The sequence below is a fragment of the Homo sapiens genome, chromosome 1, assembly GCF_000001405.40.
Source record: "Homo sapiens chromosome 1, GRCh38.p14 Primary Assembly".
In the NCBI taxonomy this organism is placed as follows: Eukaryota; Metazoa; Chordata; class Mammalia; order Primates; family Hominidae; genus Homo; species Homo sapiens.
Window position 1 is genome coordinate 50,586,562 of NC_000001.11, and position 13,829 is coordinate 50,600,390.

At 39.8% G+C, this 13,829-nt stretch overlaps 1 protein-coding gene across 5 annotated transcripts in view; it reads right to left on the reverse strand.

Annotated features, from left to right (window-relative positions):
* FAF1 (Fas associated factor 1) overlaps positions 1-13,829 on the reverse strand; it is a 523,240-nt gene that overhangs the window by 149,534 nt on the left and 359,877 nt on the right. For all 5 annotated transcript variants that reach the window (NM_007051.3, XM_047442745.1, XM_047442743.1 and 2 more), the window contains one exon: positions 9,560-9,655. In NM_007051.3, the coding sequence (NP_008982.1) occupies positions 9,560-9,655 (96 nt within the window). The remainder of the gene's footprint in view (positions 1-9,559; positions 9,656-13,829) is intronic.

Sequence of the window (13,829 nt, forward strand, 5' to 3'; positions counted from 1 at the left end):
TTGTTGCATGAATAAATAAATGGTCCTTCCCTGAAGCATTTACCTGCCATCTTAACTCTACTTCTCACGGAAACACTGGTCCTCCTCCCTTAATAGTTTGTTCGTAGATCTAAGATCTCCTGGTTTAAGCTAGTCAACAGCTTAAAAATCCACAATGCTTTCTCATTTTAGAGCAGTGAAAGAGCCTCCTCCACAAAACAACACATTTACTAGGACAACAGTGCTTGAGTTCCCGCTGTGTTTCAGGTAGTCAAATATCTGGAGAATGAAGTTGCCTTTAAATTTGAGGCTTAGTCTTAAATAGGTAAAGGCTCAAGATTTACAAGATATACCACATGTTCTTTTACAGTGCCTAGCCAGATTCACAGGCAACTGAAAAGAAACAAAGGACGAGTATGACAAATCTTCTCACATCCTCTATCAGGTAAGCTATCAATTCAGTCTTTGCTTAATCTTGCCTAGTACTCACCCCCTCCTTTGAGGCATCAGGTTAAGAACAAGGGGTGGGAGACACAGGGGAGAAAAAAGGGAATGTTCTATATATACTTCTTTCTATACTTACCCCTTTTACTTTACTGTCCCACATCCATCCTCTTTCTCCAAATCCTGTTCAATACATTAGCTCCTTCTATAACAACAGGACCTTACTTCATACTAAGATAGTGATTTTAATATTCTCCATGTGTCTCCATTATTCGTTTTCCCTTCACAAAGTAGAGAATCCCCAAACCTCTTAAAATTCCAGAAAACAAAATCCTATAACCACAACATCTTCAAAGGGAGGTATCTAAAAAGCCAATTTTGTTGAAAAAAGTATATTTCAAATATGAATTATTGAAATATCTGCAAGAATGAACTACTTAATTATGTATAAGGAACTCCCAGTCTCTTCATATTTTTTTATCAGCCATCTAACAGGTTAGAAAAAGCTTTTTCTAAAAAATAAGATAAACTTTTTTTCATTAATGTTTGCTGATGAGAATAGATAATCTCTCGGTATCTGTCATGGCTGCCCTAAAATTCTTTAAATCCAGAAAAAGTATTTATTCATAATTTTAAAAACAGCTAAAAAATTAGTGATTATGCTTATTGCATTCATTTATTACCTTTAACATTTAACAAACATTTACAAATCACTGTTAAGTGCTACGCTGTTTGGACCTATGTGGAAGATACAGTATATCCTCTCTTAAGGAGCACCATATATTATACACAGAGTGATTAGTGCTATGACATGTAAATTCAGAAGAGAGGACCTAAATCATAGGGGGTAGGAATCAGGAAAAACTTCCTGGAGGAGATGATAACTAAACCGTTTAAGGTAAACATTTAGAACTCATAACTGGCATTAAAGCAAGCTTATAATTGAAATAGATGTTCCTTTCAGCAACATTCACCAACTACCTATTATGTCAAGGCACTATGTTAAAAACTAGGTATGTCAGCCAGGCATGGTGGCTCATGCCTGTAATCCCAGCACTTTCAGAGGCCGAGGCAGGCGGATCACTTAAGGTCAGGAGTTCGAGACCAGCCTGGCCAACATGATGAAACCCCATCTCCACTAAAAACACAAAAATTAGCCTGGTGCGGTGGCAGACGCCTGTAATCCCAGCTACCTGGAAGGCTGAGGCAGGAGAATCACTTGAACGTGGGAGATGGAAGTTGCAGTACGTGCCACTACATCCAGCTAATTTTCATATATTTTGTATAGACAGGGTCTCACTATTTGCCCAGGCTGAATGTGAACTTATTTTAAACTATTTGTCAGGCAATTCGTGTATCTCTAATTCTTTAGGGTCAGTTACTAGAGTTTATTGGTTCCTTTGGTGGTATCATCTTTCCGAAATTCCTTATGATCCTTGTATTCTTGCAAAGGTGTCTGTGCATTTGATGAAAAAGTTACCTCTTCCAGACTTTATGGGCTGCCATCAGTAAGGAGAGACCTTCACCTGTGGGTGTGGAGAGAGGGTAGAGAAGGAGAGAGGCACTCTGGGGCATGCTGTGGCATGGGGTCTAAGGGCACAAGATACCAAGTGGTGTGTGTGTGTGGTGACTTGAGGTCTAGGGGGGACACTGAGTCTTGTCAGCCTAGACAGTTAAGAGTCTGTGACATTGGCACCTGTGTGATCCTTGACGGCAAAAGTTGTGGGAGGTCTGCAGAGGCTGCAAGGGCTACTGGAGTCCTCTGCTGTGCCTCTGTGTCCAGCAACAAAGGGCCATGGCTAGCAACAATGAAGGCCAGAGCCAGTGAAATGCACATCCTCTGGTGTAGAGGCTGGCTGCAGACATGCCTCTGGCAGCAGATCCAGATGTAGCCTCATGCACTGGGGTAAGTGCTGGAGACAGAAACAGGAGATGGGCAAGACTGTAAGAGCACATGTGGGATGGTCAGGGCTGGAAGCTTGCTTATCCTCAATTGCAGGGACCAGCTAGGGTTAGGTGACAGGAATTAGACTATCTGTGTATATGTGGGCAGCTGCAGGGCCATCTGTGATTGCAAGCACAGTGGTAGGGGCAGGAGCCAAGGGGCAAGATCACCTACTTATAGACATAAAACTGTGACAGCCAGGGCTGGCAGCATGCAGTAGCCTAGCTGCTGGGGTAAGCCTCAGGTACATGTAGTGGTGGGTTTGAAGCCTGTGATGAGTGGTCACAGAGCTGTTTTCAGGCACACATGCAGTAGCTGTGTTGTGTCCCTGGGCCAAAGAACCCACAGGGGCAGCAGCTGGGGTGGCTCTGGGGAGGAGGGATTTCAGGTGCTTAGGCACCTGAAAAATACGAAGTCTGCTGAGGAGGGATTCTAGACCCAAGCAGGAGCAGCTCAGGTGACTCCAGGTGGGGAAGGGAGAGGAGTGGTAGGTCACACACCCAGAGACTGTCAAGGCTGCTGGGCTGTGTTCCCAGGCCAGAACAACTACAGCAGTAGCAGTCTTGCAGCTCTGGGTCTTTGCCCATTTTTTAACTGGGTTGTTATATTACTTAGTTTTAGGAGTTCTCTATATTTTATAGACATTGATCCCATATCAGATGTATGATTTGCAAATATTTTCTCCCATTCTGTGGGTTGCCTTTTTAACTCCATTGCTAGTGTTTTTTGATGCACAAAACTTTTTAATTTTCACCAAGTCCAATTTCTCTATTTTTTCTTTTGTTACCTGTGCCATTAGTGTCATACCAAGATATCATTGCCAAATCCAATGTCATAAAACTTTTGCCCTATGTTTTCTTTTAACAGTTGTATTGTTTTAGATCTTACAGTTAGGTCTTTCATATATTTTGAGTTTAGTTTTGCATATGATATTAGGTAAGGGTCCAACTTCATTCTTTCGCATGTGGATATCCAGTTTTCCCAGTACCGTTTGTTGAAAAAACTTCCCTTTCTCCATTGAATGGGATTAGTGCCCTTGTCAAAAACCATTTTATCATAATATGCTGGTATGTTGGGGCTCTCTATTATATTCCATTGGGCTATATGTTAGTCTAGCACTGTACTGTTGAGATTACTGTATCTTTTTACTAAACATTGGAATCAGGAAGAGTGAGTCCTCCAGCTTTGTTCTTTTTCAGGATTGTTTTTGGCTATTCAAGGTCCCTTGAAATTCCATATGAATTTTTGGATAAGTTTTTCTATTTCTGCAAAAAACCACCATTGGAATTTTGATACGGATTTCTGTAGACTGCTTTGGGCACTACAATATTACGCCTTCCAACCCATGTACATGAAATGTGTTTCCATTTATTTATATCTTCTTTAATTTTTCAGCAATGTTTGGTAGCTTTCATAGTACAAGTCTCCCGCTTCTTTTATTAGTTAATTCCTAAGTATTATTCTGTTTGATGCTTTGACATTGGAATTGTTTTTCTAATTTTCTGTTCAGCTTGTTGACTGTTGGTTTATAGAAATGCAAGTGATTTTTGTGTGTTGACTTTGTATCTTGGTATTTTGCTGAATTCATTTTTTAGTTCCAATAGTTTTTTAAAAATGTAATCTTTGGAGTTGTCTACATATAAAATTATCCTCAGTGAACAGAGATTATTTTAATCCTTCCTTTTATTTCTTTTTCTTTTTCTTGCCTAATTGCCCTGGCCAGAACTTCCAGAACTATGTCAAATAGAAATGGTGAAAGGGGTCATTCTTGGCCGGGCGCCGTGGCTCACGCCTGTAATCCCAGCACTTTGGGAGGCTGAGGCGGATAGATCACCTGAGGTCAGGAGTTTGAGACCAGTCTGACCAATATGGTGAAACCCTGTCTCTACTAAAATTACAAAAATTAGCCAGGTGTGGTGGTGTACTCCTGTAGTCCCAGCTACTCAGGAGGCTGAGGCAGGAGAATCACTTGAACCCAGGAGGCGGAGGTTGCAGTGAGCCAAGATCGTGCCACTGTACTCCAGCCTGGGCAACAGAGCGAGACTCTGTCTCCAAAAAAAAAAAAGAAAGAAAGAAAGGGGTCATTCTTATCTTGTTCCTGATTTTAGAGAAAAAGTTTTCAGTCTTTCACCCTTGAGTATGATGTTTGCTGTGAGTTTTTCAGATATGTCTTTCATTATGTTGAAGTAGTTTTCTTCTATTTCTAGTTTTACCATGAAAGGGTGTTGAATGTTACCAAATGCAGATGATGACGTGTTTTTTTCCTTCATTCTGTAAATGTGCTGTATTACATTGAGGATTCCATTATCTCTTGCTTGCACTAGTACAACAGACTCATACCTGATTTCTCTGTCTTCTGTCTTGTTTCTTTTAAATCTAGCCTGTGCACAGCAGAGCGCTCTTCACTAAACTGTGTATTTGTGGGGAGATATCACTCCCCACTTAAAAGTCTTTTACTGCTGGCCAGGTGCAGTGGCTCATGCCTGCAATCCCAGCACTTTGGAAGGGCGTGGCAGGTGGATCACGACTTAAGGTCAGGAGTTACCAGCCTGGCCAACATGGCGAAACCTCGTCTCTACTAAAAATACAAAAATTTCACCGGGCATGGTGGTGGGTGCCTATAATCCCAGTTACTCAGGAGACTGAGGCACGAGAATAGCTTGCACCCGAGAGGTGGAGGTTGCAGTGAGCCGAGATCGCACCACTGCACTCCACCCTAGGCAACAGAGCGAGACTCCATCTCAGAAAAAAAAAAAAAAAAAAAAGGCTTTTACTGCTTTCTACAGTTCCAAATTCTCAATGTGTCATACAAGACTTACTCACTTTCACCTCATCTCTTATCTTCCTTTTCCCCCGACTTTCTTCTGCACTAACAGCAACCTACACTTATCTCTTCTCATTTGCTACATCAAATCATGCTTTTTTTCTCTGAATGGAATGAATGGAATATGATTCCTTTGATTCTTTATTTGGCTGTGACTCATTCTTTATAATCCAATGTGGATGTCACCTCCTCTAGTCTTTTTTTATTTCCTTTATTTAAAAAATATTCATTTACAAATAACTATTCTGTGTCTGTTACATGCCAGGCACTATGCTAGGTGTTAGGGCTACAGAGGGGAGAAAGACAAACAAAGTTCTTGCCTGCAAACATTCTTGAAAGTTACAACCCACCCCCATTATCTATGCTCCCCTAGCATCTCATGCTTGCCTCAATTTTCTCATTAATCATATAATATAAAATTATCAATTTATATTCATCTGACTAGTACATAGTGAGCATTCAATAAATGTTTCTTTAACCATAGTTATAAACTGATGCTTTTAACATTACATTAAAACTTTTTGTTGTTGTTAAGTTTTTGGATTTCTTCTCCTTCTTCACTGTCAACTGAGAACTGAACAATTCCCAAGGAGCCAGGGTCAACAAGGCCCCCACACTGTCTCACCCAAGCAACTGAGGATAAATTGTTACCTAGCTAGGTATCCAGAAATATGGAAAAATCATTAAACGGGGGCTCAGGAACAAGGGGAGGATGAGAAGAAAAAATATTAAATGATCGTAAAGAAACTGTGTCTGTAGGGCCAGAGAGATGATGTAAGAATCAAAATTCTCCCAGCTAAAGGAAATATAACTACAATCCATAAAGTCTAAAACTTGAATTTAACTGCTGGTCTCAAATATTTCCTTCCTAACTCAAAGTTTAAGAAAGTCAACAGCAAAATGATTATTGTTGGCTGGGCACGGTGACTCACACCTGTAACCCCAACACTTTGGGAGGCCAAGGAGGGCAGATCACTTGAGGTAAGGAGCTTAAAACCAGTTTGGCCAACATGGCAAAATCCTGTCTCTACTCAAAATGCCGGGCATGGTGGCACATGCCTGTAGTCCCTGCTACTTGGGAGGCTAAGGCACGAGAATTGCTTGAACCCGTGGGGAGAAGGCTGCAGTGAGCTAAGATTGTGCCACTGTACTTCAGCCTGGGCAACAGAGCAAGACTCTGTTTCAAAAAAAAAAAAAAAGAAAGAAAGATGATTGTCTTAAAACACACAAAGTCATGTAGGAGTAGAACCGGAAGACAGCAGTAGAATCACTGGGTAGAAGGTACAATTACACATATTTCAACTTAATATAAGGAAGACAACAGAAAAAGCTGCTCAAAAATGAAACTGGTTATTATAGGAGGGCAAAACTCCTAATAATAAGATATTATTATTCAGTAATAATAAGATATTACCGAGGTTGTGAATGTTTTAGTTTGGCAAAGCCTCCCAATCCCACACTACCATTTTCTCAAAATAACCTAAATAGTGTGCTAGCCTCACAAACACTGCTCTTCACTATATGGAACTGACTTCTCTCTGCTGATGGGACCACCCAAATAACACATATAATAGTGAGGGTGAGAGAAGAAAATAAATGAAGTGAAACAGTTACCTGTCACCTCTCAGATAGGACACAGAATAATTAAAAATTTTGGTTGGGGCTAGTTGGCCACCTTTTAATGTTAGTGGATTTATCCATTAAAGAGTGGAAGTATGACCTACTCTAGCCATTAAAAACAGACTCAAGCACTTTAAAGAAATATCTCATTAAATTATGTCCGGCAATTTCTGCCAAGCAGTGAAACTCAATATTATCTTTCTTTCACAAGGGCTAGTGAGATAAAGTGCTTTAAAAAAAAATGGTTTGGTCTCTTGAAAAGGAATAAACATTTTTGGAGACCAAGTATAGTACAGTATAATACAGCACAGTCATATTATTAGCAGGGGAAAACACTTCCTTCTCTGTGGTTTTCTAAAAAATGTTAAAAACCAGAGTGGCAAATTATAATTTTCACAGGATGATTATAGACTACAACTTCAATTACATAACTCCATTTCTCTTTCACATGTTTAAGTGATATAAATACGTATTCAAAGGATGGCTGGAGAAGTCCTGTGGTAGCTTCCATAATGGGTGTCCAAAATATATAGGCAGTTTAAATAAAAATGAGCAACCACATTTTGTATAGAATGTAAATGGAAAAAAATTTTTATCTTACTAGCCTAAGCTTTTAAATACTTGAATCATGCTCTGTCTTAAAAAATTCTAGTTTAAGGCCAGGCGTGGTGGCTCACACCTGTAATCCCAGCACTTTGGAGGGCTGAGGAGGGTGGATCATTTGAGGTCAGGAGTTCAAGACCAGCCTGGCCAACATAGTGAAACCCCGTCTCTATTAAAAACACAAAAAATTGAGCCGGGTGTGGTGGTGCGTGCCTGTAATCCCAGCTACCTGGGAGGCTGAGGCACGAGAATCACTTGAACCCAGGAGGCAGAGGTTGTAGTGAGCCGAGATCGCACCATTGCACTCCAGCCTGGGTGACAGAGTGAGATCCTGTCTCAAAAAAAAAAAAAAAAAATTATAGTTTAAATAAAGTTCATCTGTGCTATTTAGTTATGACCTCCATTGTATACACTTTTGAAGTCTTGGTGATGACTTTTCCTAGCACATAGTAAGAGCTCAATAAATATTTCTTAAATAAGTTAAAACATCCATGCTCTCTTTCCCATTTCCTTATAACCATGGTCAGAGTTGGGCATGAAAGTGCTGTTTGTAGCCATGGAACAGAATTTAAATATTTCCTTATAATATTCTTTAGGCTTGGGCCAGGCGTGGTGGCTCACACCTGTAATCCCAGCAATTTGGGAGGCCGGGGGGGGTGGGGGTTGGGGGTGGATCACGAGGTCAGGAGTTCGAGACCAGCCTGGCCAATATAGTGAAACCCCGTCTCTATTAAAAATACAAAAATTAGCTGAGCGTGGTGGCGGGCACCTGTAGTCCCAGCTACTTGGGAGGCTGAGGCAGGACAATCGCTTGAACCTGGGAGGTGGAGGTTGCAGTGAGCCGAGATCGCTCCATTGCACTCCAACCTGGGCAACAAGAGTGAAACCCCATCTCAAAAAAAAAAAAAAAATTATATATATATATATTCTTTAGGCTCACTTAGACCCAAATAGGCACAACACACAAACAAACGTGTTCAATCTTATCTGCCCCTTCTCTTTGTTTCTTTAGGACCCCTGTGTGCAACACTATCACTGCATTTTTTATATTATGCCATCACTATTATTATTATCTTTTTATTTTTATTTTTTTTTGAGATGGAATTTCACTCTTGTTGCCCAGGCTGGAGTGCAATGGCACAATCTCGGCTCACTACAACCTCCACCTCTTGGGTTCAAGTGATTCTCCTGCCTTAGCCTCCTGCGTAGCTGGGATTAAAGGAATGCGCCACCACACCCAACTAATTTTGTATTTTTAGTAGAGACGGAGTTTCTCCATGTTGGTCAGGCTGGTCTCGAACTCCTGACCTCAGGTGATCCACTCACCTTGGCCTCTCAAAGTGCTGGGATTACAGGTGTAAGTCACTGTACCTGGCCACTGTTATTTTATCTATCACCCTTGACTCTCAGCACTTTGGTATAGGTATAGTGTTATTCATCTTTGTTATCTAAAGATATTAAGCACAGTGTCTGCTTCATAGTAAGTGCTCCAACCCAATGAGTTAAAGGACTTCCGGGGTCAATCCTAATGAATCTACTCAACTACACAGTCAATAGCAAAAAAAAGTTTCTTTTTTCTTTTTTGAGATGCATTCTCATGCTGTTGCTTAGGCTGGAGTGCAGTGGCGCGATCTCGGCTCACTGCAACCTCTGCCTGCTGGATTCAAGCAATTCTCATGCCTCAGCCTCCCAAGTAGCTGGGATTATAGGTGTCTGCCACCACACCTGGCTAATTTTTGTATTTTTAGTAGAGACGGGGTTTTACTATGTTGGCCAGGCTGGTCTCGAACTCCTGGCCTCATGTGCTCTGCCTGTCTCGGCCATCCAAAGTGCTGGGATTACAGGCGTGAGTGACTGTGCCCAGCCTAGAAAGTTCTTTGTTAGCCTGATGGTTCTAAGTAAAAATCATTTCAACCAATCCATCTGAATTCCGTCTGTTGAAACATGAAACTAACAGAGCGAGAAGGAGCACATTAGTAGTAACCTTGCATGGACAGTTTCTGCCTTCAAGAATTTACCGAGATTTAATTAATGCTACATTAACTTTATCTGTTCATTGCTCTGGCAGATAAAAAAAAAGGGAAGTGCGCAGGTAGGTGGGGGATGGGCCTTCTGTTCAAAGAAAAGCTGGCAAACAGGCTTACTTCTTCCGACTGTTCCCGGGTCTGTGCAGGTGAAGATCTTCTTCCCACTGTAAGTCGATGGCAGGGATAAGAGAGCCCTGATTCAGCAAGACACATCTGCAAAAAGTAGAATCCATCATTTGTAAACAAAATACGGCCATGTTTCACAAAAGGATTTGACTTTTCAGGTATTTTCTATTATTGCTGAAGCTAGATTAGAAAGCTAACTCTAGTATCCTGGGTATTACATTACCAGGAAGGCTTTGAAAATTTGAAATTTTTCCACACATGGGATGTTATGGTAGCTAAGGCTAATTTTCATTAGATGATAGACTGAGGTTCTAGGAAACTGGTATGAGCCCAAAATAAGGCAAATCATACATACTTGCCCCCAATCCCCCACTGCCTCAATGTGCGTCTGCTACTTTTCTGATTAGCAGAATAATACCTCATTTTCCTAACTCCGAAGGCAGTAGGGATAGAAATATAAAATTGTAGGTGAGATACAAAATTTAAAATTTCCATAAGATACATATATCAGAAATATACAAAAATCTAAGTTTAGGTTTTATCATAAAGGAAGCTGCCTTATATTTGAGTAGTTACAAAAGTTCTCCTATTACAGGGTGCTTCCTCAAATACTTCATTTTCAATACACTGTTTCGACAGATTAGCCTTAAATAACCTGAGTCAATGATGCTTCAGGTTCTCCCAGAGTTTACTTGTCAAAACTGGTTAATAAAGAAGACAATGATAAGACATGATTATTCCTAGAGCTCTGTATAATCTCACAATTGCAAGTATTAAAAGTCCTTATAAACCTGTCTTTAAAAGATACTTTGAAAAATGTCTTGGGAAGATGATGAATATACATACATAGGACAAATGAAACCAAAACAAAACAAAAAATAAGCAAATGAAAAAATTACAACTGTCCTTAATGACACCTAGATAGGGATAGTATTTGATTATTACTTTCTCCACAGCGTAGGGATAATAAGGTTGAGTTTATGGGTAAAGCAATGAGAAAATGCCTAGCACACAGTTGGTGGCTCAACAAACATTACTTTTTACTAGTCTGTGAAGAATATCTGTGGCTTGAGATAAAATGTCCAGCGAAAAGGATGGACTCTAGAAAACATGACTTTAGCAGAAACACCTTCCTCACCTAGACTGTTCCATGAGAGAAGCCCACTGTCACCTTATATTCTGGGGTCTTTCTAAGTTAGCCTGTTCCTTAATTAACACAAGAGTAGTTATCTTATTCAATTCAATTATTTAGTCTTTACAATGTCAACCAAAAAGAAAAAAAAAAGTGACCCTAGTGGTGATGATGATGCTTATATATAAAAAAATGCCCATAGAATTTGAATAAATATCATGAAATATGAGGGTAGCTACAAAAGCAGTATTTGTAAATTAACATTATATAATATTAACATTATTTTAAGTATATGTGTCCAATTAAATAATTTGACAATTATACTACATCAACACAAAAAGTTTATGCATTTAAATTATCCAAAGAAAACCCTTTTTCACAAAAATAATTATTATTTTACAGTATTTATATTTTTAAGGCCACATCTTAAGGAAAAAATAGCTATAGTTGGCAAGAATTTAATTGTTCTTGTCAGCTGTCAATGATTGAAATATAAGGATGGTAAATCATTTTTTGACAAGACATGAAGAAAAATGAACAAAATTAAGTAAATTTGTTCTGTTAAAAAGTAATCCATGGAAAAGGCAGGCACTTAACAAATTCTTGTTGATCCCTAAAGGAACTTTTTCTATTTAGTAACAGGAGACGGCTAAGTGTAGAATGGACTTTTAAACTCAGAGTGTCCTGAGTTCAAATTCACTTCTACTATTCACTCGAATCAATATTTTCCATCTCGAAACTAAGTTTCCTGGCTGGGCGTGGTGGCTCATGCCTGTAATTCCAGCACTTTGCAAGGCTGAGTCAGGAGGATAGCCTGAGCTCAGGAGTTCAAGACCAGCTTGGGCAACATAGTGAGATCTTGTCTCTAAAAACATAAACAAAAGATTAGCTGGGTATGGGGGTGCACGCCTGTAGTCCTTGCTACTTGGGTTGCTGAGGCAGGAGGATCACTTGAGCCCAGGTGGTTAAGGCTGCAGTGAGCTGTGATCATGCCACTGTACTCCAGCTTGGGTGACAGAGTGAGACCCTGTCTCCAAAAAAAGAAAAACCAATTAGCTGGGCATGGTGGAACACACCCATAGTCCAGCTACTAGGGAGGCTGAGATGGGAGGATTGCTTGAGCCCAGGAGGTCAAGGCTGCAGAGAACTGAGATCATGCCACTGCATTCTAGCCTGGGTGATAAAGCAAGAACCTGTCTTTAAAAAAAAAAAAAAAAAAAAAAAGGCTAAGTTTTCTGTTCTGTAAAATTAACATGACCTTTCCTAACAGGCTTTCTGTGAGGATGGCTTAAATGAGAATACACTTGCTACATAGTAGATATTCTATCAGTGAGTGAATACTCAAAGTCCATTTGAAGTTTTTTCTTTTCTTCTTACAAACAGTATTTAGTGTTAAGAACATACTGTGCTGGGCGCAATGGCTCATGTGCTGGGCGCGGTGGCTCACGCCTGTAATCTCAGCACTTTGGGAGGCTGAGGCGAGTGGATCACCTGAGGTCAAGAATTCGAGACCAGCCTGACCAACATGGTGAAATCCCATTTCTACTAAATACAAAAAATTAGCCGGGCATGGTGGTTCATGCTTGTAATCCCAGCTACTTGGGAGGCTGAGGCAGGAGAATTGCTTGAACCTGGGAAGTGGAGGTTGCAGTAAGCTGAGATTGTGCCATTGCACTCCAACCTGGACAACAAGAGTGAAACTCCGTCTCAAAAAAAAAAGAACATACTATGTGATTCTCAAAGTATGTACTACAGGCACAGGGTTCTTGAGATTCTTTCAGTAGTTCCATAAGGTCAAAATTATTTCATAATAATACTTAAATGGCATTAGACTTTTTCACTGTGTTGTATTTATTTATTTATTTTCTTGAGAGGGAACCTCGCTCTGTCACCCAGGCTGGAGTGCAGTGGTACGATCTCAGCTCACTGCAACCTCCACCTCCCAGGTTCGAGTGATTCTCCTGCTTCAGCCTCCGAAGCAGCTGGGATTACAGGTGTGTGCCACCATGCCTGGCTAATTTTTGTATCTTTGTAGAGACGGGGTTTTAACACGTTGGCCAGGCTGGTCTTGAACTCCTGACCTCAGGTGATCTGCCCACCTCAGCCTCCCAAAGTGCTGGGATTACAGGCCTAAGCCACCACACCTGGCCACAGTGTTTTTATACTGATGTTAAAAAAAGCAATGGTAGGCAAATCTGCTGGTACTTCAGCACAAATTAAGGTAGTAACACCAAGCTGTTAAAAATCTCCAGTTCCATTTACTCACTGTAAAAATGGCAGTTTCATTTAATAATGTCCCTGTTAAATCAGTAAAAATTATTAAGTAATTTAATTTATTTATTAAGTAAATTTTGACTCTTAATACATGTCTTTTAATATTCTATGTGACAAATGGGAAGTATGTATAAAGGACTTCTACAGCATACCAAAGTATAATGGATGGGTTGAAGAAAAAGCATGTGTGTTTCAGTTATATGCTGAATCAGCCACTTTTTTTCAGAAACACCATTACTACTTAAACAAATGATGGGCAGACAAACTGTGGTTATTTGGATTTGGTATTTAGACAAGTATCCCTTATTTAAAATGCTTGGGACCAGAGGTGTTTCAGACTTAGAACTGTTTTGGGTTTTGGAATATTGGCATCATATATACCTAACAGTTGAGCATCTCAAATCTAAAAATCCAAAATCTGAAATGCTCCAATGAGCATTTCCTTTTAACATCATGTTGCTGCTTAAAAAGTTTCAGATTTTCAGATTACGGATACTCAACCTGTGATTGAGTATCCCTAATTGCTGAACATTTTCTCCAAAATGAATGAAGTGAGACTACTACTTCAAGGAACAGGTCTGACAGTATTAATTGCCAATGACAAAATTTGAGTTTTCATGTAAAAATTAAGAGTTTTAAAAACTATCAGCCATCATGAGCTTGACAGCTTCTCAATGCTTAAAGCCTTTGTGATGCGTTCAGTGGTTATATTAATATAATAGATGTGACTTTTTATATCATGTAATGAAATGTGTCAACATTTAGAAAATCTGCATAACTCACAAGACCAATATTCTCCAAATGAACAGTGATTGCATGATGTTATAAAATTATGTATGGATAAAGGTTTAATTC